The sequence below is a fragment of the Homo sapiens genome, chromosome 19 (genome assembly GCF_000001405.40).
Source record: "Homo sapiens chromosome 19, GRCh38.p14 Primary Assembly".
NCBI lineage: Eukaryota > Metazoa > Chordata > Mammalia > Primates > Hominidae > Homo > Homo sapiens.
In genome coordinates, this window is record NC_000019.10 from 40,536,584 (window position 1) to 40,564,326 (window position 27,743).

The 27,743-nt window shown below is 49.8% G+C and overlaps 1 protein-coding gene across 5 annotated transcripts in view; it reads left to right on the forward strand.

Annotated features, from left to right (window-relative positions):
- Positions 1–27,743, forward strand: part of SPTBN4 (spectrin beta, non-erythrocytic 4) — a 109,464-nt gene that overhangs the window by 69,583 nt on the left and 12,138 nt on the right. For 4 of the 5 annotated variants that reach the window (NM_020971.3, XM_017027051.2, XM_017027049.2 and 1 more), the window contains 7 exons: positions 12,606–12,830; positions 13,655–13,744; positions 17,564–17,842; positions 17,933–18,063; positions 19,501–19,705; positions 20,440–20,820; positions 23,576–23,820. In NM_020971.3, coding sequence (NP_066022.2) covers positions 12,606–12,830; positions 13,655–13,744; positions 17,564–17,842; positions 17,933–18,063; positions 19,501–19,705; positions 20,440–20,820; positions 23,576–23,820 — 1,556 coding nt within the window. Of the gene's footprint in view, positions 1–12,605; positions 12,831–13,654; positions 13,745–17,563; positions 17,843–17,932; positions 18,064–19,500; positions 19,706–20,439; positions 20,821–23,575; positions 24,173–27,743 lie in introns of those variants that run through there. The other variant, NM_025213.3, reaches the window with a different exon arrangement.

Below are 27,743 nucleotides of genomic sequence, written 5' to 3' on the forward strand. Positions count from 1 at the left end.
TTAAACCGCATTGAGATCCTTAGAAAGCTTTGTCTGTGTGGGTTAGACCTATTGACATTCACTGTATTAAAAATGAAAATCGAGGCCAGGCATAATGGCTCATGCCTGTATCCCAGCACTTTGGGAGGCCGAGGCAGGAGGATTGCTTGAGCCTAGGAGTTTGAGACTAGCCTGGGTAACGGAGCAACAGCCTGTCTCTATTTTATTTTATTTAGTTATTTGAGCCAGGATCTCGCTCTGTTAGCAGGCTGGACTGCAGTGGTGCAATCACGGCTCACTGCAGCCTCAACCTCTGGGGCTCAAGTGATGCTCCTCCCTCAGTCCCGCAAGTAGCTGGGACTACGGACCCACACCACCATGCCTGATTGATTTTTTTTTTAAGAAACAGAATCTCACTATGTTGGCCAGTCTTTATCTCTATTTATTGAACTAAAAAAAAAAACTAAAACGGAGTCTGGCTCTGCCACCTAGGCTGGAGTGCAGTGGCTTGATCTCAGCTCACTGCAGCCTCTGCCTCCTGGGTTCAAGCAGTTCTCCTGCCTCAGTCTCTGGAGTAGCTGGGATTACAGGCCTGTGCCACCAAGCCTGGCTAATTTTTGTATTTTTAGTAGAGATGGGGTTTCAGCATGTTGCCCAGGCTGGTCTCGAACTCGTGGCCTCAGGTGATCGGCCTGCCTTGGCCTCCCAAAGTGCTGGGATTACAGGCATGAGCCATGGCATCCAGACTGTAGTTCTCTTTCATGTCTAGAATAGAAGAGAGCTAGCTTCTCCCATCCGTGTCTGTATTCAATCCATTTCACTAGCACAGGTCATCAGGTCTCTGAAAAACACTGCTGCATGCTGGAGAGAGAATGAGAATGGTGAAGGCAAATAACATCTTAGTATTTTTATAAAAATAGTTGTAACCTTGCAGATGCCTTGAAAAGATCTCAGGGATCCCCCAGGGGTTCCTTGGCCACAGTTTGAGAACTGCTGATGTACACAATGTGCTGGGCACTGTTAACTCCTCTCTCCTCCCCAACAGCCCCATGAGGGAGGTCCTGTTATTATCCCCACCCAGCAGAAAACCACAGCACAGAAAGGATCTGTGGCTCACAGAGGTCACATGGCTACCAAGTGGCTATTCAATACCACCTTTAGTCCCTCCCTGAGCCTCTGTCCTCCCTCTTAAATAGGACTCTATCATCAGTGCAGGTCTCCCAGGGCCAGGTGGGGATGTGCACAGAAAGGAGCCACTTAGCACAGTGCCCAGGATGTGGTAAGCCTGCAAGAAAGGGGCATCTGACTGTCAGGGTCCCAGCCAGAAACAGAAGCAGGCTCACCTGCAGAAAACTTGAGTTTCTTGACAAAGGTGTGAGTGGAGAACGGGGAAGCTGCAGGAAGCATATAGGGCTGTGGGACTCATGGAGGGGAGCTTTTGCTCCTCCCTAGCCAGAGAAGGTAGAGAAGGAAAAGTTATTGGAACTTGGAAGGGGAGAGTTGCCAGACAGGAGCTGGCACTCTTAGTCAAGAACGGCAGCCATGGCCAGACGCAGTGGCTCACGCCTGTAATCCCAGCACTTTGGGAGGCCAAGGCGGGTGGTTCACTTGAGATCAGGAATTCAAGACCAACCTGGGCAACATGGCAAAACCCCGTCTCTACTAAAAATACAAAAATTAGCCGAACGTGGTGGCACATGCCTGTAATCCCAGCTACTCGGGAGGCTGGGGCATGAGAATCGCTTGAACTTGAGAGGCGGAGGTTGCAGTGAGGCAAGATTGCACCTCACTGCACTCCAGCCTGGGTGACAGAGTGAGACTCTGTCTCAAAAAAAAAAAAAAAGAGAAAGAAAGAAAGAACGGCAGCCAGACCATGGCACCATAGCAGGGAAGAGCTGGGGAGATAATACCCCAGACTCACTTTCCTCTGGGCTTCCCTTTGTCAGCCAGGGCTGGCTTCATGGGTGTTTGCCCGTGCAGTGACACAGGGCTCCATGCTTGGTTTAATGCCCTACTATTGATGTCTTGAATTTTTTTGTTTTTGAGGCAGTTTCTACCTCTGTCACCCAGGCTGAAGTGCAATGGCGTGATCATGGCTCACTGCAGCCTTGAACTCCTGGACTCAAGTGAACCTGTCACCTCAGCCTCCTGAGTAGCTGGGACTACAAGCGTGTGCCACCACGCCCAGATAATTTTTGTAGTATTTTATAGAGACGGGGGCCTCACTGTGTTGCCCAGGCTGGTCTCAAACTCCTGGCCTCAAGTGATCCTCCTACGTTAGTCTCCCAAAGTGCTGGGATTACAGGGGTGAAGCACTGCCCCTGGATAAAATTCTTAATAAATATTTGAACAAGGGACCTTGTGTTTTCATTTTGCACTGAAAAGTATAAGCCATGTTTGAGGCCAACCCACATGGAAGCCAGAGGACAGGAGGGCTGGTCCATGCAGGTCAGTCCTGCACAGGGCAGGGTGAAGAAGCTTGGACTATGGGTCTCAAGATCCCGGGCTGAAGCATCCATCCACCTCGGCCTCCCAAAGTGCTGGGATCACAGGCGTGAGCCACTGCCCCAGCCTATTGCTAGGATTCATAATTATCTTGCAGTGATTACTAATTCTTCCCCAGCAGTGTTTTGCAGTGGCTGAAGGCACAGACTTGGGACTCCAGCAGGTCTGGTTCTGAGTCACAGCTCTCCCACTTGCTGCCTTCGTCTCTCCCTCTGAGCCTTGGATGCCTTCTCCTTGCAATGGGAAGGACCTCAATGCTCACCCCCTGGTGGATAGCAGGAGTGTGGGAAGCAGCAGAGCATCTCAGTGAAGGGCATGGATGCTGGCGCTGGGCTGCCTGGGTCAAGCCCTGGCTCTGTGCCTTATCACCTGGATAGCCCAAGGAGGTTACTTTTCTCTCCATGCTTCAGTTTCTTTTTCTTTTTTTAAGAGGGAGTCTCACTCTGTTGCCCAGGCTGGAGTGCAGTGGCAGGACCTCGGCTCACTGCAACCTCCGCCTCCTGGCTTCAAGTGATTCTCCTGCCTCAGCGTCCTCCTGAGTAGCTGGGATTACAGGCACCTGCCACCACGCCTGGCTAATTTTTGTATTTTTAGTAGAGACGGGGTTTCACCATGTTGGCCAGGCTGGTCTCAAACTCCTGACCTCAAGTGATCCACCCACCTCCGCCTCCCAAAGTGCTGGGATTACAGGCATGAGCCACCGCGCCTGGCTGTGCCTCATTTTCTTCTTCAGTAAAATGGGCATAATGATATTTCTGACCTCATAAGGACATTGTGAAGGTGAAAAGACATAATGCATTAAGTGGTTTCAGAACTGCTGACCCAACAAATCTAAGATTCAGTATTTATTCACAGGTCTTTAATTTTTTTTTTTTTAGACCAAGTTTTGTTCTTGTCACCCAGGCTGGAGCGCAGTGGCACAATCTCGGCTCACTGCAACCCTCTGCCTCCTGGGTTCAAGTGATTCTCCTGCCTCAGCCTCCCGAGTAGCTGGGACTATAGGCACCCGCCACCATACCCGGCTAATTTTTGTATTTTTAGTAGAGATGGGGTTTCGCCATGTTGTCCAGGCTGGTCCCAAACTCCTGACCTCAAGTGATCCGCCCGCCTCGGCCTCCCAAAGTGCTGGGATAATAGGCATGAACCACCGTGCCTGGCCAGTCTTTAATTTTAACTGTCATAAAACTGAGAGCATATCACCATCACTCTACTGTTTTCAAAAGCTAGTTGTTTCACCTTCCCTTTGGTTGTTACTTATGTGATACACGGTTACTTCATTTGTTTTTGTTCATATTCCATTTGGGGCATTTACCCCTCTCCATGCTGCTTTTTAATTTTAATTTATTTTTATTTTTTGATAGATGGGGTCTCACTATGTTACCCAGGCTGGTCACAAACTCCTGGGCTCAAACAGTCCTCCTGCCTTAGCCCCTCAAAGTGCTGGGATTATTCGCGTGAGCCACTGCACCTGGCCCCAAAACACATTTTAAAAAAGCAACATGGATGATTGGGCACAGTGGCTCATGCCTGTAATCCCAGCACTTTGTGAGGCCAAGGCAGGAGGATCGCTTGAGCCCAGGTGTTCCAGACCAGCCTGGGCAACATAGCGAGATTCACATGCCTGTGTTCCCAGCTACTCAGAAGGCTGAAGTGGGAGGATCACTTGAGCCCAGGAGGTTGAAGCTGCAGTGAGCTGTGATCGTGTCACTGCACTCCAATCTGGTCGACAGAGTGAGACCCCCATCTCAAAAAAAAAAAAAAAAAAAAAAAAAAGAAAAGTAATTTGGAGGTGGTAAATGAAATATTTATATAGTGTTAAAAGTTAGAACCATCTTTAGCTCACTTGCTTTTGCCAAATTGCCTGCCCAGGTCCTTCTGTGGCTGCTCACTCTCTCCCCAGCAGTACACATGAGCTCCTGTTTCCTCTCGTCCTTGCCAACACTTGGTTTTGTCAGACATTTTAGATCTTTCTCAGTCCGATGGCTGGGAAGTGGTATCTCACTGCAGTGTGTGTATTTGTATTTTTTTCCAATGCTACTGGCGAGCTTGACCATCTTTGACCTTCTTTTGTACTATTTAGGTTTTAGAGGAAGGAGTTGGGGCCTCCTGCTTTAGCCAGAGTACAGAGTTAGCTCTTCCCTCCCTGTAGGGGGTTCAGTCTCAACCAAGCCCAGCAAACCATGAGATGGGGGTCCCCATTGTTCAAGGGAGGGGCTGAAGCCCAGAGGAGACAAGGGAGTGGCCCTGGGGTCACACAGTGATGGGTGCCAGAGGCAGGCTCCAGCACGAGACTCCTGGGCCCTTTTCCCAGCAGAGGGAGCCCGAGGCAGGAAGTGACTGTGTGGGCCAGGGCACCCAGACGGAGCCCAGCTGCCCCTCAGGAGCTGCTACTGGGGAAGGGACCTGCCAAGGCCCTGCTGTCCCCTGGGGCATACACAGGAGAGGGGTTGGCTGCCATCCAGCCTGGCACGTTTCCTGGCTGTCCCATCCACCCTTAGGGCACTGGGGCCAGGCTGGGCTGAGGGAGGTACTGGCTCGGGGTCTGAGGGGTGTAGTGGTGTGCAGTGTGTGAGCGATCTGTCCCCCTCAGCCTCTCTCCTGTCCTCCCGTCGCCATCTCTGTGTCTCTCTCTTCCCTTTGTGTCCCTCTCTGTCCTACTCTCTCACTCCCTTCTCTCTGTCTCTTTATTTATTTTGAGACAGAATCTTACTCTGTCACCCAGGCTGGAGTGCAGTGGCGCGATCTTGGCTCACTGCAATCTCCGCCTCCCAGGTTCAAGCGATTCCCCAGCCTCCCCAGTAGCTGGGATTACAGGCACCCGCCACCATGCCTGGCTAATTTTTGTATTTTTTTATTTTTATTTTTTCTTTTTGAGACGGAATCTCACTCTGTCACCCAGGCTGGAGTGCAATGGCACAGTCTCAGCTCGCTGCAACCTCCGCCTCCCGGATTCCAGCGATTCTCCTGCCTCAGCCTCCCAAGTAGTTGTGATTACAGGCGTGAGCCACCACGCCCGGCTAATTTTTGTATTTTTAGTAGAGATGGGGTTTCACCATGTTGGCCAGGTTGGTCTTGAACTCCTGACCTCAGGTGATCTGCCTACCTTGGCCTCCCAAAGTTCTGGGATTACAGGCATGAGCCACCACCCCAGTCTCTCTGTCTCTTTTTATTTGACTTCTCTGTCTCTGCCTCCTTCCCGTGTTCCTCATGTCCTCCTTGTGTCCTCTCCCTCATCCCGTACCACACCCGCTGCTGCAGCAGGCTCTCTGGGACCCCACCTCCCAGGTCCTGGCCACGTGACCCAGAATCCTCTCTCGGGGCCTGTTGCCAAGCTGTGCTTCCTGGCCAAGAAGCCAGATGGTGGAGTCTCAAGTCCTGGCTCCCCAGCCCTCAGGGACCTGGCCAGCTGGTCGGCCTCAGCCACAGGCTCCTGCTTGGAGAGATGGGGGACTGGTCTCCTGCCAGATGAGAAAATGCACTAGAGGCTTTGCAGCTGCCAGGCTCTGTCCCTGGGGACCCCACACTTTTTCCAGGCCCACCCCCACCCTAAGCAAAGCTCTTTCTCTGGCCAAGGAAACACCCTCCTCCCCCCTGTTCTGCTTCTCTGTCCCATGTTTTTGTATCCAGCTCAGCATGGCCTAGGAGAGGAGTGCACATTCAGGGACTATACAGTCCCAGTCCTTGCCTTATTGGGACTCAAGGCAAGGGACCCCATCCTTTCTTTCTTTCCTTTTTTTTTTGTTTTTGTTTTTTTGTTTTTTGAGACAGAGTCTCACTCTGTTGCCCAGGCTGGAGTGCAGTGGCGCGATCTCAGCTAATTATGTCTTCATAATTCACAAATTATGTCTTCAATTTATGAAGGTGCTGGCTCGGGGTCTGAGGGGTGGAGTGATCAGTAACTCAAATTACGTCTTCACAAATCTCCTTGTCTTCATTTCTGAGCACCGCTTTCTTCTGTGTTGGCCTCATGGTCAGGGAGTCCCTGATGTTGGCAGGATGACCCCAGGATGCCCGGCCTACCTCCTCCCAACTTAGGAAGCCCATGGGAAAGAGAGCATCTCTTCTGTGCACACACATTTTCCTGGCGAAAATGGGGAGAGTGGCCGGGCACAGTGGCTCACACCTGTAATCCCACACTTTAGGAGGCCAAGATGGGAGGATTGCTTGAGGCCAGGAGTTGGAGACCCGCCTGGCCAACACAGCGAGACCCCACCTCTACCAAAAAAGAAAAAGTGGGAAGAGTTTTCATTGGCCCATCTAAGGTTACGTGCTCATATCTGACCCAATCTTTATGACCAGGGTGTTTTCAGTGTTCTGCTTGGCCCCACTTGGGTCATGTGATTACCCATGACTCTCTAGGTTTCATTTGCCCTTCAGGAAGCTCAGGACCTGAGAGTGAGTTTTGATGTATTTGGAAGGAGAGGATGGATTTTGGGCAGGCAAAACCAACAACTCTGCACTACAGAACTTTGAATCAAGAAGTCTTGGCTTGGTTCTTGAGTTTGGGGTTTTGTTTTGCAGTCATTTGTGGTAATCTGCTACCACTTAATTTTTTAATTGTTATTTTGTTTTCTTCTCTAGCTTTCCTCCATCTGTTTAGAATTACAAGGGTAATATATGAATATATTCTTTTGGGAAAAAATTTTACTAACCGAGCAGTCTTCAGTAAAACATAAAGTCTCACTCCTATCTGCCTCCCAATCCCACATCCCAAAGAGAGCCTCAGTTATTTGGTGTGCATCCATCTAGACCTCTTTCTGTGCATTTACAAGTGTACCTATATGGATGTTTAATGTTTTTATATTATTTGCTTTTCATGTTTAATTTCAATTTTTGAATAAATAAATTTTCATGGTGAAGACATCAAAACCTCTAGGGAAATCCCATGGGAAAATTATCGCCTTCATCCCTGTTCCCCATTCATTAAGTTCTCATCCCCTCCCCCAGTAAGTACCATCTGTTATGAACTTCTTGTTTACTCCAGGGAATTTTTATGCATGTGCAATCCACTATAAATTTATATTCATAGGTAGGTTCTAAATTGCTTCTTCTTCTTCCTCTTTTTTTTTTTTTTTTTTGTTTGTTTGTTGTTGAGACTGAGTTTCGCTCTTTTTGCCAAAGCCGGAGCGCAATGGCGCGATCTCAGCTCACTGCAACCTCCGCCTCCCGGGTTCAAGCAATTCTCCTGCCTCAGCCTCCCAAGTAGCTGGGATAACAGGCGCCTGCCACAATGCCCGGCTAATTTTTTGTATTTTTAGTAGAGACTGGGTTTCACCATGTTGGCCAGCATGGTGTCTATCTCTTGACCTCGTGATCCGCCCGCCTCAGCCTTCCAAAGTGCTGGGATTACAGGCATGAGCCATTGTGCCCGGCTTTTTTTTTTTTTTTTTTTTTTTTGAGATGGAGTTTTGCTTTTGTTGCCCGGGCTGGAGTGCAGTGGCATGATCTCGGCTCACTGCAACCTCTGCCTCCCGGGTTCAAGTGATTCTCCTGCCTCAGGCTCCCGAGTAGCTGGGATTACAGGTGTCTGCCATCACGCCTGGCTAATTTTTTGTGTTTTTAGTAGAGATGGGGTTTCACCATGTTGGCCAGGCAGGTCTCAAACTCCTGACTTCAGGTGATCCACGCGCCTTGGCCTCCCAGAGTGCTAGGATTACAGGCGTGAGCCACCGCACCCAGCATGCTTTTTCTTCTTAACAGTAACACTTGGCTATTTTTCCATACTGGTCTGGATTTGTTTAACCATTTTACTCTTTTTTATTTTTTATTTTTTTTTAAGAGAGGGGGTCTAGCTGTGTTGCCCAGGCTGGTCTCAAACTCCTGGGCTCAAGCATTTCTCCCACCTCAACCTCCTAAGTAGCTGGGATTACAGGCATGAGCTGCTGCACCTGACTTAACCATTTCTCTCTTGATGGGCATTGAGGTTGCTTCCAGTTTTTTCCCATTATAAACTCTGCTGTGATACTACAACTTTGTGCATCTGTGCCAGTATTTCTTTTTTTTCTTAAAAAAATTTTTATTATTATTATTTAAAAATTTTTTTTTCAGGATGGAGTCTTGCTGTGTCACCCAGGCTGAATTGCAGCGACGTGATCTCGGCTCACTGCAACCTCCACCTCCCAAGTTCAAGCAATTCTCCTGCCTCAGCCTCCCAAGTAGCTGGGATTACAGGCGTGCATCACCACGCCTAGCTAATTTTTGTATTTTTAGTAGAGACAGGGTTTCACCATGTTGGCCAGGCTGGTCTCAAACTCCTGACCTTGTGATCTGCCTGCCTTGGCCTCCCAAAGTGCTGGGATTACAGGCGTGAGCCACTGCACTTGGCCTATGACAGTATTTCTTTAGTTATATTACTAGAAATGCAAGTGCTGGGTCAAGCAGATGCATATTTTGCATTTTGATGCAAAGACCTGCCAAATTGCCTTCTAAAAAGGCTCTACCAATTTATGCCACCACTGACAGTGGCTGAGTGTGCCCATCTCCCAACATCTTTGCCAGCATTAGATACTATAAGTCTTTTACATTTTTGCCAACCTAATGTGTAGAAAAGAATGCCTTGGCCAGGCGCAGTGGCTCACTCCTGTAATCCCAGCACTTTGGGAGGCCGAGGTGGGTGGATCACCTGTAGTCAAGAGTTCAAGACTAGCCTGGCCAACATGGTGAAACCCCATCTCTATTAAAAATTCAGAATTGGCCAGGCGTGGTGGCTCACGCCTGTAATCCCAGCACTTTGGAAGGCCAAGGCAGGCAGATCACAAGGTCAGGAGATCGAGACCATCCTGGCTAACATGGTGAAACCCCATCTCTACTAAAAATACAAAAAAAATTAGTCAGGCGTGGTGGTGGGCACCTGTAGTCCCAGCTACTTGGGAGGCTGAGGCAGGAGAATGCCGTGAACCCAGGAGGCAGAGCTTGGAGCTTGCAGTGAGCCAAGATAGCACCATTGCACTCCAGCCTGGGCGAAAGAGCGAGACTCTGCCTCAAAAAAAAAAAAAAAAAAAATCAAAATTAACCGGGCGTGGTGATGTGTGCCTGTGATCCCAGCTACTCGGGAGGCGGAGGCAGGAGAATCACTTGAACTGAGGAGGCAGAGGTTGCAGTGAGCCGAGATCATGCCATTGCACTCCAGCCTGGGCAAAAAGAGCGAAACTCCATCTCAAAAAAAAAAAAAAAAGAAAGAAAGAAAGAAAAGAAAAAAGAAAAGGAAGTCTTGTTTTAATTTCTATTTTCCAGCTTATTAATAAGACTGAGCATCTTTTCATATGCTTGTTTTGTCTGTTGCCTGTTCACATCTGATGCCCATTTCTCTTTTTGGGCAGTCCTTTTTTTTTGCTGATGTCATTCATGTATGCATTGAACAAATCATAACTGGAGGCCTATTGTGTACCAAAAATTGTTCTAGGCTTTCAAGAATATAGCAGTGAGTGTGACACAGCCCCTCCCATCATGTGGGTCACATTCTGGAAGCAAGGGACCAATAAAAATACAAAAGTACCTGAGTGCAGTGGCTCACACCTGTAATCCCAGCACTTTGGAAGGCCAACGTGAGAATAGTTTGAGTCCAGGAGTTCAAGACCAGCCTGGGCAACATAGCAAGACCCCATCTTTATGACAAATTTCAAAAATGAGCTGGGCATGGTGGTGTGTGCTTGTAGTCCTAGCTACTTGGGAGGCTGAGGCAAGAGGATCCCTTGAGCCCAGGAGTTCAAGGCTGCAGAGAGTTATTATCTTACTACTGCATGCCAACCTGGATGACAGAGCAAGACCCTATCAAAAAACAAAACACACACACACAAATCAAGAGAGTTGTCTGATGGTGGTAAGCACTGTGAAGACGAAGCAGGATGGAGGGAAATTCTTTGATTGTTAAACTAGTTCCTTGCACTGATACATATCAATTTTTACAGTTTGTCATTTGCCTTCTAACTCTATGAAATTTTGGTTGATGCAGAAGTATTTTTTAATTATTTTTTTAATTATACTTTAAATTCTAGGGTACATGTGCACAATGTGCAGGTTTGTTACATAGGAATTCATGTGCCATGTTGGTGTGCTGCACCCATTAACTCGTCATTTACATTAGGTATTTCTCTTAATGATATCCCTCCCCCCTCCCCCCACCCCATGACAGGCCCCGGTGTGTGATGTTCCCTGCCCTGTGTCCAAGTGTTCTCATTGTTCAGCTCCCACCTATGAGTGAGAACGTGTGGTGTTTGGTTTTCTGTCCTTGCGATAGTTTGCTCAGAATGATGGTTTCCAGCTTCACCCATGTCCCTACAAAGGACATGAACTCATCCTTCTTTATGGCTGCATAGTATTCCATGGTGTATATGTGCCACATTTTCTTAATCCAGTCTATCATTGATGGACATTTGGGTTGGTTGCAAGTCTTTGCTAATGTGAATAGTGCCACAATAAACATACGTGTGCATGTGTCTTTATAGTAGCATGATTTATAATCCTTTGGGTATATACCCAGTAATGGGATCACTGGGTCAAATGGTATTTCTAGTTCTAGATCCTTGAGGAATCGCCACACTGTCTTCCCCAATGGTTGAACCAGTTTACATTCCCACCAACAGTGTAAAAGTGTTCCTGTTTCTCCACATCCTCTCCAGCATCTGTTGTTTCCTGACTTTTTAATGATCGCTATTCTAACTGGTGTGAGATGATATCTCATTGTGGTTTTGATTTGCATTTATCTGATGACCAGTGATGGTGAGCATTTTTTCATATGTCTGTTGGCTGATGCAGAAGTATTTTTATGTGATCAAATTATAAATCTTTCCCTTTATGTTTTTTATGCTTGGAAAGATTTTTCTCCATCCCAACATTATAAAAGCATTTGCCCAGGTTTTCTTTTAGTGCCTTATGGATTTACTTACTCTGTTTAGGTCTTTAATCCATCTGGAATTGTTTTCAGTACAAACAGCAAGGAAAGGATCCAGCTAAATTGGTTAGCCATTGGCCCATGACCATTCATTAAATAATCCATCTTTCCCTTGGGGATTTGAATTGGCACCTATGAAACACATGAATTTTCCTGTGTATTTGGGTCTGCTTTTGCACTTTCTGTCTATTCCTAAGACACAGCAGCCATCCAAATTACTATAGCTTTGTATTTATTTTTGATAATTTCTTACTATCAAATTTTTTTATCCGGTAATCCCAGCACTTTGGGAGGCCAAGATGGGCAGATCACTTGAGGTTATGAGTTTGAGACCAGCCTGACCAACATGGTGAAACCCCATCTCTACTAAAAATACAAAAAAAATTAGCAAGGCATGGTGTCAGGTGCCTGTAGTCCCAGCTACTTGGGAGGTCAAGGCACAAGAATCACTTGAACCTGGGAGGTGGAGGTTGCAGTGAGCTGAGGTTGCCCACTGCACTCCAGCCTGGATGACACAGCACCCAGGCTGATTTGTTCATCCTGAGGTCAGGAGTTCAAGACCAGCCTGGCCAATATGGTGAAACCCCATCTCTACAAAAATACAAAAATTAGCCGGGCATGATGGCAGGTGCCTGTAATCCCAGCTACTCAGGAGGCTGAGGCGGGAGAATCACTTGAAGCCAGGAGGTGAAGGTTGCAGTGAGCCAAGATTACGCCATTGCACTCCAGCCTGGGCAACAGAGCGAGACTCCATCTCAAAAAAAAAAAAAGCGTTAACAAAAAATTATTACTATATTTGATGGTAATAATTTTGGAAAGTTGACTCTTTGGACAAATTCTTTAACTTCTCTTGGCCTTGGTTTCCTCCTCTGTAAAACAGGGAGACTACCAATCTTGAAGGTTGTTCTGGGAATTAGTGAATTAATGGACCACTTTAGTTCCGGGGTCAGGTAAGCCTCTTTGAGAAGGTAATACTCCAGCTGAAATCTGATTGACAAGGAAGAGCATGCCTGGCAGAGGAAACAGCAAAGGCAAAGGCTCCGAGGCAGGGACTAGCTTAGTGTGATGCAGGTTCATGCGGAGCGCATCGCTCCTGGAGGGGACTGAACAAGGAGAGGGTGGAAGGGTGGGCCGCGGTGAGGGGTCTGGCTGTCACCATAAGGGTACTGGAGAGCCACAGCAGGATCAGGAGGGCGGGTGGGGCCCATTGACCCTGCCTCTGTCCCCACAGTCCATGGAGTCGCAGGTGGAGGAGTGGTACCGCGAGGTGGGAGAGCTGCAGGCGCAGACGGCGGCGCTGCCGCTGGAGCCGGCGAGCAAGGAGCTGGTGGGTGAGCGGCAGAACGCGGTGGGCGAGCGCCTGGTGCGCCTGCTCGAGCCGTTGCAGGAGCGCCGCCGCTTGCTGCTGGCTTCCAAGGAGTTGCACCAGGTGGCGCACGACCTGGACGACGAGCTGGTGAGGCCAGCGCAGGGGCCTGGGGCGGGGCGGGGCGGGGCGGTGGGGCGGAGAAGGTGGGCATGGGGCGGGGCTGAAGATGGAGACGGCTGAGACCCTCCCACTCATACGCTGAAAGACGCATTCAGCCGTTCACTCATTCATTCATTCACACTCATTTACTCACTTTGAATCATTCGTTGATTTATTCATGAAGTCACTCATTTATTTATTCACTCATCCATAGTTTGTTCTTTCCTCCACTCATTTATTTACTTAACTATTCATTCATTCACTCCTCTGTTCCTCATTCCATCACTCAATTTCCTGATTTGCTCATTCATTTGTTCACTCAGTTGATCATTCTAGCCCCAGCCCTGTGTTTGGATGATAGTGGGGCCACAGGGGTGGCCAAGGCAGACCCCATTGTGCCCCAGAGGGTTCAGAGTCCAACGGGGAAAACAGACTTGTCCCCAGACAGTGACAATTCAGGGTGGTTAGGAATATGATAGGAAACAAGACCTGTATGTGCAAAGGCCAACGGTGTGAGCCTGGCTTAAGTGCAGACAGCAAGAAAGAGTATGTCAACAGAGGAGACTGAGACAGGTGTGGTGGTGCCTGTTGTCCCAGCTACATGGGAGGCTGAGGTAGGAGGATTATTTGAGCCTGGGGATTCGATCCCATCTCAAAGAAAAAAAAAAAACAAAAAATGGAGGAGGCTGAATATTCAACTGGGCTCTTAGGCAAGGAAGGGCCTGGGATGCCGTGCAGGTTTAAAGTTTAGTTGCGATGCAGGGGTTCTTGGATGCATTCTCCCCTTGACCTGCTTCCTGTGTCCTCTCCAGGCATGGGTTCAGGAGCGGCTGCCACTGGCCATGCAGACAGAGCGAGGCAACGGTTTGCAGGCGGTCCAGCAGCACATCAAAAAGAACCAGGTGAGCAGAGCCAGGTGAGGGAGCGAGTTAGGACATTTGGATACATGTGATAGAAACAGCTGAAGGTGGTTAAAGCCAAAACAATGAATGTATTGGCTTTTGGAATTAACAAGACTGTGGACAGCAGATACAGATGTATCCAGGTGCTTCCATATATTTTCATGACTCTTGGCTCTATTTTTTTTTTTTTTTTGAGATGGAGCCTTGCTTTGTTGCCCAGGCTGGAGTTTAGTGGCACAATCTTTGCTCACTGCAACCTCCACTTCCTGAGTTCAAGCGATTCTCCTGCCTCAGCCATCCAAGTAGCTGGGATTACATGTGTGCACCACCACACCTGGCTAATTTTTGTATTTTTAGTAGAGATGGACGGCGGGGGGTGGGGTGTTTCACCAGGTTGGCCAGGCTGGGCTCGAACTCCTGGCCTCAAGTGATCCACTCGCCTCAGCCTCCCAAAGTGCTGAGATTACAGGTGTGAGCCACCGCGCCCGGCCTGTTTGTTTTTCTGCATGAGCTTTCTTCTTAGGCCAGTCCTCCTCTCCTGGTGATAAAAGGCCTCCAGTGGATTCAGGTTTACCTCCCACCAGCAAAACTGAAGAGAATTTCCCACCTCAATAATGTCAGCAGTAGTCTCAGGAATAACTCTCATTGGCTCACCATGCCCATGGCATCCCACGCCCATCCCTGAACTAATCATGATGGATGGGGTTTCGGACTGCTCCTTGGGCTGGCCTGGTTAAGCGCCCTCCCCTGGAACCTGCTGCTGGAATCAGCCTTAGCTTAATTACCAAGGCTGAGATGGAGGCAAAGGGGGTTTCCCAAAGGAAAATCAGGGGCTTGAGACTAGAAGGAAGGGGAATAGCTATTGGACAAGGAAAAAGTAAAACAACAACAAACAAAATCACAAAACATCGAGTTAGCCTGGTGTGATGGTGTACCCCTGTAGTCCCAGCTACTCTGGAGGCTGGGGAGGGAGGGTCCCTTGAGTCCAGAGGTCAAAGCTGCAGTGAGCCTTGAACACCCCACTGCACTCCACCCTGTGCAACAGAATGAGACCCTATCTCTCTCTCTCTCTCACACACACACACACACACACGTCCCCCAAAACAAACAAACAAAAACACCCATAGGGACAAAGGACAGAGATAATCAGCAAGAGGATACTACTGCCCCCTAACCTGAGCAAGGTGGGGGAGGGGGCCTTTGAGCTCCTAAAAAATCTCTGAATCTGTTCATTCCTCTGGGGCTCAGTTTCCACATCTAAAGTAGAGTTGGTTTAGAGCAGTGGTTCTCAAACTGCATACGAAGGGAACCCCTTGGTCAAAGCAACTATTTCACCAAAGCCTAAAGCAAGACATAAAAGAGGAATAATAATAATAAGGCATTGTGCCAGGTGTGGTGGCTCATGCCTGTAATCCCAGCACTCTGGGAGGCCAAGGCAGGATGATCACTTGAGCCCAGGAGTTTGAGACCAGCCTGGGCAACATGGGGAAACCCCGTCTCTACCAGAAATACAAAAATTAGCTGAGCATAGTAGAAGGTGCCTGTAATCCCAGCTACCTGGGAGGCTGAGGCAGGAGAATTGCTTGAACCCAGGAGGCAGAGGTTGCAGTGAGCCAAGATCACACCACTGTACTCCAGCCTGGGTGACAGAGTGAGACCCTGTCTCAAAAAAAAAAAAAAAACATCGATTAAAGATTTACTAAGTGCTGGCTGGGTGCAGTGGCTCATGCCTGTAATCCCAGCACTTTGGGAGGCTGAGGTGGGTGGATCACCTGAGGTCAGGAGTTCGAGACCAGCCTGACCAACATGGTGAAACCCTGTCTCTACTAAAAATGCAAAAAATTAAGGCCAGGTGCGGTGGCTCACGCCTGTAATCCCAGCACTTTGGGAGGCCGAGGCGAGTGGATCACGAGGTCAGGAGATCGAGACCATCCTGGCTAACACGGTGAAACCGCGTCTCTACTAAAAACACAAAAAATTAGCCGGGCGAGGTGTCGGGCGCCTGTAATCCCAGCTACTCGGGAGGCTGGGGCAGGAGAATCGCTTGAACCTAGGAGGCGGAGGTTGCAGTGAGCCAAGATTGCACCATTGCAATACAGCCTGAGTGTCAAGAGCGAGACTCCGTCTCAAAAAAAAAAAAAAAAAAAGATTAAAAAAAAAAAAAGATTTACTGTGTGCTAAGTACTGTCTTAGGGTTTATGCTGATTATTTAATTTAATCCCCTCTATAACCCTATGAGGTAGATATTGTCATTATCCTCATTTCACCAAACAATGTATGTTGGAAGAATAGGGCACTGAAGGATGGTGGGGAGGTGGGTCTACAGATTATTTTGGAAGCTTCCTGATCATTCTGCAGTAGGTAGAGTTATTTAAGAGACTGGAGTTTTGCTGAGATTTTGTTTTCCTGTCTTGATGAAAATACTCTTGGCTGTCAACAGTGTGGGCGACAGAACTGGCTTATCGTTGTCATGGTTGAGGAAACTGATCAAGTGCACTTAGTACTTAAAATTGGGGGAGCTCAGCTGTGTGTGCAGTGAGAGTGCTGGATACACAGGGGCTGTTAAGCCAAAAATAGCTGCAAATATGATGCATTTGGTGCATGCAGACTCAGTTCCAAGTGCTCCATAGTTTATCACCTTATAACAACCCCGCAAGGTAGATTATCTCAGCCTGATACTAGCTGTGTGACCTTAGCAAATTCCTCACCCTCTCTGTGCCTCAGTCTTCTCATCTGTAAAATGGAGATGGTAATGTTGTCTGGCTCCATAGGTTGGGAGTGAGGAGGTGTGAGGCTATATTATGTAAAGCTCTTACTTAGCAAAGCACCTGGCAGGTAGCAGGGTAGCAGACACTCAAGAATCGTTGGCTGGCCGGGCACAGTGGCTCATGCTTATAAGCCTAGCACTTTGGGAGGCCAAGGTAGGAGGATCGCTTGAGGCCAGGACTTCAAGACCAGCCTGAGTAACATAGCAAGACCTCGTCTCTCCAAAAATATTTTTTAAAATAGCAGGGCATGGTGGTGCACACCTGTAGTCCCAGCCGCTTGGGAGGCTGAGGCAGGAGGATCACTTGAGCCCAGGAGTTTAAAGCTGCTGCATTCCATCCTGGGTGATAGAGTGACACCCTGTCTCTAAAAAAGCAAAATAAGGAGAGGACTTGCTGGCTGTTATTATCTTTATCAGTTGAGTCACACAAAAAGTTAAATAACGTTAAGGCACACAAAAAGTTAAAAAAGACTCACAAAAAGTTAAATAAGGTACTCTGTAAGTAAATAAGGTTAAGGCACACAAAACGTTAAATAAGGTACTCTGCAAGTACAGAGCTGGTTGAGGGAACCTTCTGGGGGATGGAAGTGTTCCGCACGCTGATCTGGGCACACCGGTGTATGTGTCTGTACAAATGTGTGCAACTGTATACCTAAGATTTGTGCACTCTACCGTATACAAATGATACCTCGGCTGCTAAGCTGCAGGGTTTCTGTATTAGGGCCCATCTTGGGTCGGCAAGCGGCTTGGCTCAGAGCACAGTCTCTGGAACCAGCCTCCTGTGTTCAAATCCTGTCACTCCTTACTGGCTGCTTGTTCTTGGGCGCCGTACTTCGCCCCTCTGTGCCTGTTTTCCCACCTGCAGCAAGCATAGGGTTATGATGAGTGAGGGAGTATCAGCAAAATGTTTACATGGTCTTGGCACGTGGTTAGCGAGCTGGGGGTGCTTGTTAATTGCCCCGTGGGCCGTGCCAGTAGCAGAGGAGCGTGTGGTCTTGCAGGGCCTCGGAACGCCCCCTCTCCACCCACATCCCCTTACCTCCTGCCCCCAGGGCCTGCGGCGGGAGATCCAGGCGCATGGGCCGCGCCTGGAGGAGGTGCTGGAGCGCGCGGGCGCGCTGGCGTCGCTGCGCAGCCCGGAGGCAGAGGCAGTGCGCCGGGGCCTGGAGCAGCTGCAGAGCGCCTGGGCCGGACTGCGGGAGGCTGCCGAGCGACGGCAGCAGGTGCTGGACGCCGCCTTCCAGGTGGAGCAGTACTACTTCGACGTGGCTGAGGTGGAGGCGTGGCTGGGCGAGCAGGAGCTGCTCATGATGAGTGAGGACAAGGGCAAGGTGCGCCCGAGCTGGGGGTGCGGAGGGCCTGGGGGCGCTGGAGCCGGGGGCCGCCGCTGCCGCCTCATCGTGGGCGCTTTGTGCCCCCAGGACGAACAGAGCACCCTGCAGCTGCTCAAGAAACACCTGCAGCTGGAGCAAGGCGTGGAGAACTACGAGGAAAGCATCGCGCAGCTGTCGCGCCAGTGCCGGGCGCTGCTGGAGATGGGGCACCCGGACAGGTGGGCGGGCGCGTGGCCAGTTCACAGGAATGGTCCAGCAGGACCTGAAGCTTCGCTGTTGGGAGTTGGCGCAGCGCTGGAATTGGACGTTGGGTGGGAGAGGTCCTCCTTGCTGTGTGCTGGAGCCCTCGAATTTGGCAAGTGGGCGGGCCGGAATGGGGGGACACGGCTCAGGGATGGTTGAGAGGGTGGGGCCAGGAGCACCTGGATTTGAGTGTAGTAGTGGGGACCTTGTCGGGGGAGAAAAGAGTAGGCGATGTCTAGGACTGGGGTAGAGAAGAATTTACTCAGGACAGGCAAGGGGCTCTTTCTACTCAGTGTCTGGGAGGACAGAAAAGCCTGTGCTGAGATTGGCTATGGCGGTGGGGCTGGAGACCTCCTGGTGCAGTGGGGTGATGTTGCCTCGTGTAGGCGGATGCTGAGCTCCAGGCCTGGACCAGGGATGGAATCTGTAAGGAGGTACAGAGAGAGACCTCTGTCCAAGTGGGCTCAGAGATTGGGGCTAGAGGTGGGATGCATTGGCTGGGGACCCAACCTGGGAGTCCAGAGTCCCACCGAGGTTCCTGGATAGGAGGGGCGTGAGACTGAGATAGAAACCGGGTGAGGCTGCCGAGGTGGGCGGATCACTTGAGGTCAGGAGTTGGAGACCAGCTTGGCCAACATGGTGAAACCCTGTCTCTACTAAAAATAAAAAATTAGCTGGGCATGGTGGCACGTGCCTGTAGTCCTAGCTACTGGGGAGGCTGAGGCAGGAGAATGGCTTGAACCTGGGTGGCAGAGGTTGCAGTGAGCCGAGATCGCGCCACTGCACTCCAGCCTGGTGACAGAGCAAGACTCCGTCTCAAAAAAAAAAAAAAAAAAAGAAAAGAAAAAAAAAGAAAGGAAACTGGGTGAGGCTGGATAGAGGTGAGCTTATCCATTTAGGGAAGCGGAGCTTTCCCTGCATGCTGAAATGCAGGGCTTTCTGAACCCAAGACTTGCAGAAAACAGAGTCCTGGCCAGGTGTAGTGGCTCACACCTGTAATCTCAACACTGGGAGGCTGAGGCAGGAGGATCGTTTGAGCCCAGGAGTTTGAGAACAGAGGGAACATAGTGAGACCTCATCTCTACAAAGAAATCAAAAAGTTAGCCAGGTGTAGAGTCACGTGCCTGTGGTCCCACTTGGGAGGCTGCAATGGGAGGATTGCTTGAGCATGGGAGGTGGAGGCTGCAGTGAGTTGTGATCACACCACTGCACTCCAGCCTGAGCAACAGAGCAAGACCCTGTCTCCAAAAAAAAAGAAAAAAGAAAAGAAAACAGAGCTCTACCTGGGGACACAGCCGTGTCTGAAGATTCCAAGGAAACACAGCCCTGTCCTGGGGAGGGGGTTTAGGGGGGTCACGCTCTGCCCCAGAAGTCTCAGGGGTCCATCCCTGCCCCTCCATGTCCCCCTTCAGCGAGCAGATCAGCCGGCGGCAGTCTCAGGTGGACCGCCTGTACGTGGCGCTCAAGGAGCTGGGTGAGGAGCGCCGGGTGGCTCTGGAACAGCAGTACTGGCTGTACCAGCTCAGCCGCCAGGTGAGCGAGCTTGAGCACTGGATTGCCGAGAAGGAGGTGGTGGCTGGCTCACCCGAGCTCGGCCAGGACTTTGAGCATGTCTCGGTGAGCATCATTAGTAATAAGTGATACCAGGAGCTACCACTAAGGTTCTCTGGGCCTTAGTTTCCTCATCTGTAGTATGAGGATAATAACAGCACCCGCCTCATGGCTCTGCTGTGAGACAAATGAGTTAATATAACGTAAAGCACTGAGGACCCTGCTTGGCACACATGCTGCCTCACACAGTGTTGGTTATTATTATCAGCTTATTATTTTATTGTTACTTATTGTTATTTTTATTGTTACTGTTTTGTTACTATTCTTGCCAGGTGTTCAGTAAGTGTTAGATATTATTTTTTATGATGATGATGATGATGATGATTATCATTACTCTTACCTGCCACAAAATGGTAGCCTCTGCCAGGTGTGGTGGCTCATGCCTGTAATCCCAACACTTTGGGAGGCCAAGGCAGGTGGATCACTTGAGGTCAGGAGTATGAGACCAGCCTGGCCAACATAGTGAAACCCCGTCTCTACTAAAAACACAAAAAAATCAGCTGGGTGTGGTGGCACATGCCTGTAGTCCTAGCTGTTTGGGAGGCTGAGGCAGGAGAATTGCTTGAACTGGGGAGGTGAAGGTTGCTGTAAGTGGCTATTGAACCACTGCACGCCAACCTGGGCGACAGAGCAAGACTCTGTATCAAAAAGAAAAAAAAACATTGTAGGCTGGAGGGGGCTGGTGTATGCTGCCCCTTTGCTCACTTTGCTGTACCCCCCCCCCCACTTCCTGATGGCAGGTGCTGCAGGAGAAATTCTCAGAGTTTGCCAGCGAGACAGGTATGGCAGGGCGGGAACGGCTGGCAGCTGTGAACCAGATGGTGGATGAGCTGATCGAGTGTGGCCATACAGCAGCGGCCACCATGGCCGAGTGGAAGGACGGACTGAACGAGGCCTGGGCTGAGCTGCTGGAGCTCATGGGCACACGGGCCCAGCTGCTGGCCGCCTCTCGGGAGCTTCATAAGTTCTTCAGTGACGCCCGAGAGCTTCAGGGACAGATTGAGGAGAAGCGGAGGCGGCTGCCCCGCCTGACCACCCCGCCTGAGCCGAGACCCAGTGCCAGTTCCATGCAGCGGACCCTGAGAGCCTTTGAGCATGACCTGCAGCTCCTCGTGTCCCAGGTGGGGCGCCGGTGGCCATCAGGGCAGGTGGGAGGGCCTGGACAGCTGTGGGCAGCAGAGTGGGCAAAAATCAGGCTGTGGAGCAGGTCGAAATTAGGCAGTGGCACAGACAGAAAGCGGACTACAGAACAGGAAGAAATTAGATAATGGAGCAGATAGAAAATGGACTGATGGAATGATATATAGAAATCAGGTATTGGCAGGGAAAAGTGGTACCTTAGAAGGTCTCACAGATATTAAACAGCTTCTGGCTGGGCGTGGTGGCTCCCTTTGGGAGGCCAACGCAGGCGGATCATCTGAGGTCAGGAGTTTAAGACCAGCCTGGTCAACGTGGTGAAACCCCATCTCTACTAAAAATACGAAAATTAGCCAGGTCTGGTGGCGGGCACCTGTAATCCCAGCTACTTGGGAGGCTGAGGCAGGAGAATCACTTGAACCCGGGAGGAGGAGGTTGCAGTGAGCCCAGATCTCGCCATTGCACTCCAGCCTATGTGACAAGAGTGATACTCTGTCTCAAAAAAAAAAAAAAAAAAAAAAGCTTCCAATAGATATTGGGCAGTGGTTCTCCTAAAACTGTGAGTTTTGCCTAAATCCAGATCAAGGGTCTAAAGGGAATTTTGAGAAGTCTGAGAGGAATTTGGCTGTGGTGTAGATAGAAATTAGACGACAGACAAGGCCAGGTGCGGTGGCTCACGCCTGTAATCCCAACACTTTGGGAGGTCGAGGCGGGCAGATCATGAGGTCAGGAGTTCAAGACCAGTCTGACCAACATGATGAAACCCCGTCTCTACTAAAAATACAAAAATTAGCAGGAATGGTGGCGGGCACCTGTAATCCCAGCTACACAGGAGACTGAGGCAGGAGAATCGCTTGAACCCGGGAGGCGGAGGTTGCAGTGAGCCGAGATCGCGCCACTGCACTCCAGCCTGGGCGACAGAGTGAGACTCCATCTCAAAAAAAAAAAAGAACTTAGATAACAGGTCTCTGATGGAAATCATATGACTTTTCTGAAATTAATTTGATGGGGGCGAATTTAATGAAAAAGGCAACAGAGATATTAGAAATTAGGCAGAGGTTCTGGCCAGAATTCGGATGTGGATCTGAGCAGTCAGATGGAAATGAAGCTGCAGGCCCAATACAACTCAGGCAGCAGGAAATTGGGTTGCAGTTCTAATGGAAGGTAGAAGTTGGGCAATTTTTGTTTGTTTGTTTGTTTATTTTTGAGACAGGGTCTCACTCTGTCACCCAGGCTGGAGTGCAGTGGCGCGATCTCAGCTCACTGCACCCTCTGCCTCCCAGGCTTAAGCGATTCTCCTGCCTCAGCCTTCCAAATAGCTGGGATTACATGCACGCGCCACCACACCTGGCTAATTTTTATATTTTTAGTAGAGACGGGATTTCACCATGTTGGCCAGGCTGGCCTCGAAATCCTGACCTCAGGTGATCTACCCGTCTCGGCCTCCCAAAGTGCTGGGATTACAGGCATGAGCTACTATGCCCAGCTGGCAATTATTATTATTATTATTATTATTATTATTATTATTATGAGGCAGAGTCTCTCTTTGTCACCCAGGCTGGAGTGTAGTGGTCTAATCTCGGCTCACTGCAACCTCTGCTTCCCGGGTTCAAGCAATTCTCCCACTTCAGCCTCGAGTAGCTGGGACTACAGGTGCAAGCCACCACACCCAGCTAATTTTTGTATTTTTAGTAGAGATGGGGTTTCACCATGTTGGCCAGGCTGATCTTGAACTCCTGACCTCAAGTGATCTGCCCGCCTTGGCCTCCCAAAGTGCTGGGGTTATAGGCATGAGCCACCGCGCCCAGCCCAGTTATTTTTTATAAATCCTACAAATGACTTAGAAATCAGGCTGAGAGATTCATAGTAATAAGTGGTGGATCTGTTAGAGATGGGGAGGTCACACCAAAATAAATCAGGAGATTGAACCAACAGAGTGAGCAGCAGGCTGAGCACAGTGGCTTATGCCTATAATCTCAGCACTTTGGGAGGCCAACCTGGGAGGATTGCTTGAGCCCAGGAGTTCAAGATGAGCCTGGGCAACATAGTAAGACTCCATCTCTATTACAACATATATGTATATATCCTGATACAGTGGCATGCACCTGTAGTTCAGCTATTAGTAGGCTGAGGCAGGAGGATCACTTGAGCCCGGGATGTCAAGGCTGCAGTGAATTGTGTTTGTGCCACTGCACTGCAGCCTGGGCAACAGAGCAAGACCCTGTCTCAGAAAAACAAACAAAAAACCCAAAACCCAAAAGATAGAGTGAGCAGAGCTCATACAGCAGAATGAATGGAAATTGGGCAGGGGAGTAATGGCAATTGAACAGCCGTCGTGTAGGAAACTGGGCTACTATGAAGGAGTGGGTTTGAAATAAACTGAGTTAAAAAAAAATTAGCACATCTAAAAGACATCAAAGTGGAAAGGGGTTTCCTGAAAGACCCAAGGTAGGGGTGGGCCTGCCTGAAAACACAGGTGGCAGACCCAATAGAAATAAAGCTCTCAGACCAAAAGAAATCAGGCAGTGGGTTGAAAGAGATGTGGTAGTAGATCTAAAAGAAGTCAGAATGCGGGTAAGTCAAAGAGAAATCAGGCAGCAGATATGACAGGAGCCTGGCTGTGGGATCACAGTGTGAGGCTCCTTATATCTTGAGGTTCTGCGCTGGAGCAGATGGTGGGAGGGAGGGCACAGCCTGGGCCCCGTGGAGGGCTGGCGCCCGACCTGGCATGCCCTTCAGGTACGGCAGCTGCAGGAGGGGGCGGCCCAGCTGCGGACGGTGTATGCGGGTGAACATGCCGAGGCCATCGCTAGCCGGGAGCAGGAGGTGCTGCAGGGTTGGAAAGAGCTGCTGTCAGCCTGTGAGGATGCCCGCCTGCATGTCAGCTCCACAGCCGACGCCCTGCGCTTCCACAGCCAAGTCCGCGACCTGCTCTCCTGGATGGATGGCATCGCCAGCCAGATTGGGGCAGCCGACAAGCCCAGGTGCCCCTCATCCCTCCTCGGGCTTCCTGCCTCCCCCTGGTGGCCTACCCCAGCCACCCCCAGCCCATTGACAGCCCCCTTCTCAATGGAATGACAACAGCCAATATCTGTGTGGCGCCTCTGTGTGCTAGGCACTGTTCTAGGTGCTTCGTGTGTATTCAGACCCCTTTTTTAGGCCTGTCATTGGGGACTTCGGTCATGGGGCATCCTTCTGTCCGCTGTCCTTCCCAGTTGCCTATTATTACCCTCTCCATGGGATGTCACAGCATGAAACAGGCTAAAGACAGGATGGGCAAGGGAGGTGTGGGACTGTATTTGTGAGGGTGGGTGAAGAATTCTAACAATTCCAGCATCTCAGTGGCTTCATTAGTGGGCATGGGCTTATTGCTCACATAGTGGTTGGATGTGAGTGTCCAGCAGAATCCTGTCCCCTGGTGATTGGGAGCCAGGGTCCTTCCATCATGCCACCCTGGGAGTCACATGCTGGACCCTCTGCATCCCGCTGCAGATGGGAAAAGATAGCAGGAGGATCACACAGAAGGTTTTAGGGATAAAGCCGGCACCCACACACTGCCAGCCCGGTGGCCTAACCTGTCTGCCAGGGAGGCTGCAAATTTTTTTTTCTCTTGAGATGGAGTCTTGCTCTGTTGCCCAGGCTGGAGTGCAGTGGCACAATATCACCTCACTGCAACCTCCGTCTCCCAGGTTCAAGCGATTCTCCTGCCTCAGCCTCCCAAGTAGCTGGGACTACAGGCGCCCACCACCACGTCTGGCTAATTTTGTATTTTTAGTAGAGAAAGGGTTTCACCGTGTTGGCCACTCTGGTCTCAAACTCCTGGCCTCAAGTGGTCCACCTGCCTCAGCCTTCCAAAGTGCTGGGATTACAGGCATAAGCCACCGTGCCTGACCTAGGCTGGAAATTTAGTTTCATGGTGTGGCTAGGAAGAAAAGGACCTAGGGAATCAGGGACACCTGGCATTGCTTCTGGGAATGCAGATCCTGCAGCCTGCATTCATTTACTCAGCAAATATGTATTAAATGCATATGGTGTGCCATGTGGTGAGCAAGGCCAAGCACTTGCCCTGAGACAGATTGCATTCTCATAGCACTTATTACTTTCTGAAATATAGCATGGGGATGGGGCACAGTGGCTCACGCCTGTAATCCCAGCACTTTGGGAGGCTGAGGCAGGCAGATCACCTGAGCTCAGGAGTTTGAGACCAGCCTAGCCAACATGGCAAAACTCCGTCTCTACTAAAAATACAAAAATTAGCCAGGCATAGTGGTGGACACCTGTAATCCCAGCTACTTGGGAGGCTGAGGCAGGAGAATCGCTTGAACCCGGGAGGTGGAGGTCACAGTGAGCCAAGATCGTGCCACTGCACTCCAGCCTGGGTGACAAGAGCAAAACTCCGTCTCAAAAAAAAAAAAAAGAAAAGAAAAAAAAATGAAATATAGCGTGGGTATATATACATACATAGGAAGGGAATGATAGCTGGCAAAGTCTCTCTGAGGATGTGCGTTTGACTGGAGACCTGAATGAAGTGATGGGTGAGTCAGGTAAAGTTTTGAGGGAAGAGTTTTCTAGGTGGAGGGACCCACAAGTGCAAGGGCCCAGAAGTGGGCTGTAGTTAGGCATGTGTGAGGAAAAGCTAGAGATCACTGTGGCCAGATGGAGGGAGGGAGTGAGGGAGTGTAGGGTGAGAGGAAGTGAGTACAGAGGGGCACTGGGGCCCTGGAAACCACACATGGTGAGGAGCATGCCTTCTCTATGAGGAACGTGGGAGCCATGCGAGAGTTTAGAGCAGAGTGGAGTGATGTGATGTGTACATTTGAGAAAAATAGGCCGGGCATGGTGGCTTATACCTGTCATCCCAGCACTTTGGGAGGCCAAGGCGGGTGGATCACTTGAGGACAGGACTTTGAGACCAGCTTGGCCAATGTGGCGAAACCCCGCCTCTACTAAAAATACAAAAATTAGCTGGGTGTTGTGGCATGTGCCTGTAGTCCCAGCTACTGGGGAGGCTGAGGCAGGAGAATTGCTTGAACCTGGAAGGTGGAGGTTGCAGTGTGCTGAGATCGTACCACTGCACTCCAGCCTGGGCAACAGAGCGAGACTCTGTGTCAAAAAAAAAAAAAAAAAAAAAAAGGCTGGGCACAGTGGCTCACACCTGTAATCCCAGCATTTTGGGAGGCTGAGGTGGGTGGATCACTTGAGGTCGGGAGTTCGAGAGCAGCCTGACCAACATAGAGAAACCTCATCTCTACTAAAAATACAAACTTAGCCGGGTGTGGTGGCACATGCCTGTAATCCCAGCTACTTGGGAGGCTGAGGCAGGAGAATTGCTTGAACCCAGGAGGCGGAGGTTGCGGTGAGCCAAGATTGTGCCATTGCACTCCAGCCTGGGCAACAAGAGCGAAATTCCATCTCAAAAAAAAAAAAATTAAATATACAGGGAAGTAAAGGTAACCCACATGTGTATCGTGAACACTTGGCTTGAACAACCATCAACATTTGGCCAATCTAGCCAAAAGAGGTGGCTCACGCCTGTAATCCCAACACTGGGAGGCCAAGGCAAGAGGATCACTTGAGGCCAGGAGTTTGAGACTACCCTACGCAACATAGTGAGACCCCATCTCTACAAAAAAGAAAAAAATTAGTCAAGCATGGTGGTGTGCATGCCTGTTGTCCCAGCTACTTGGGAGTCTGAGGGAGGAGGATCACTTGAGTCCAGGAGGGTCAGGCTGCAGTGAGCCATGATTATGCCATTTCACTCCAGCCTGGGTGACAGAGCGAGATTCTGTCTTAAAAAAAAATTTTTTTTTTTTAATTAGCTGGGCATTGTGGTGCATGCCTGTAGTCCCAGCTACCCTGGAGGCTAAGCCAGGATGATCACTTAAGCCCAGGTGGTAGATTCAAACCATAGCATGAAGCTATGATTGCCAACTGATGGAACCTTCAGAAACTTGGAATTTGTTTTGGACATAAGATGGCTTAGAATGGTGCTGTCCAATAGTTATATAACACGAGCCACAAATGCGAGCCACATATATACTTTAAAATCTTCTTGTGGCCATACTAACAAAGCAAAGCAAATGAAACTTAATTTTAGTAATACATTTTTATTTAACCTGACATACCCAAAGTATTATCACTTCAACAGGTAGTCAATATTAAAACTATTAATGAGGCCAGGCAGTTTCGAACTTCTGGCCTCAGGTGATCCGCCCGCCTCAGCCTCCCAATCTCAGCCAAGCGGAGATCGCACCACTGCAGTCCAGCCTAGGTGACAGAAGGAGACTCCATCTCAAAAACAACAACAACCAAAACAAAGAAACAAAACTATTAATGAGGCCAGGCGCAGTGGCTCATGCCTGTAATCTCGGCTGAGATTGGGAGGCTAAGGCAGGCGGATCACCTGAGGCCAGAAGTTCGAGACCAGCCTGGCCAACATGCCAAAAATCCATCTCTACTGAAAATACAGAACAAAAAATTAGCCAGGCTTGGTGGCGGGCACCTGTAATCCCAGCTACTCGGGAGGCTGAGGCAGGAGAATTGCTTGAACCCAGAAGGTGGAGGCTGCAGTGAGCCAAGATCACGCCATTGCACTCCAGCCTGGGCAAGAAGAGCAAATCTCTGTCTCAAAAACAAACAAACAAACAAACAAAGGCTGGGTGCGGTGGCTCACGCCTGTAATCCCTGCACTTTGGGAGGCCTAGGCAGGCGGATCAACTGAGGTCAGGAGTTTGAGACCAGCCTGACAAACATGTTGAAACCCTGTTTCTACTAAAAATACAAAAAAATTAGCCAGGCATGGTGGCAGGTGCCTGTAATCCCAGCTACTCAGGAAGCTGAGGCAGGGGAATCGCTTGAACCTACCTAGAAGGGGGAGGTTGCAGTGAGCGGAGATCGCACCACTGCA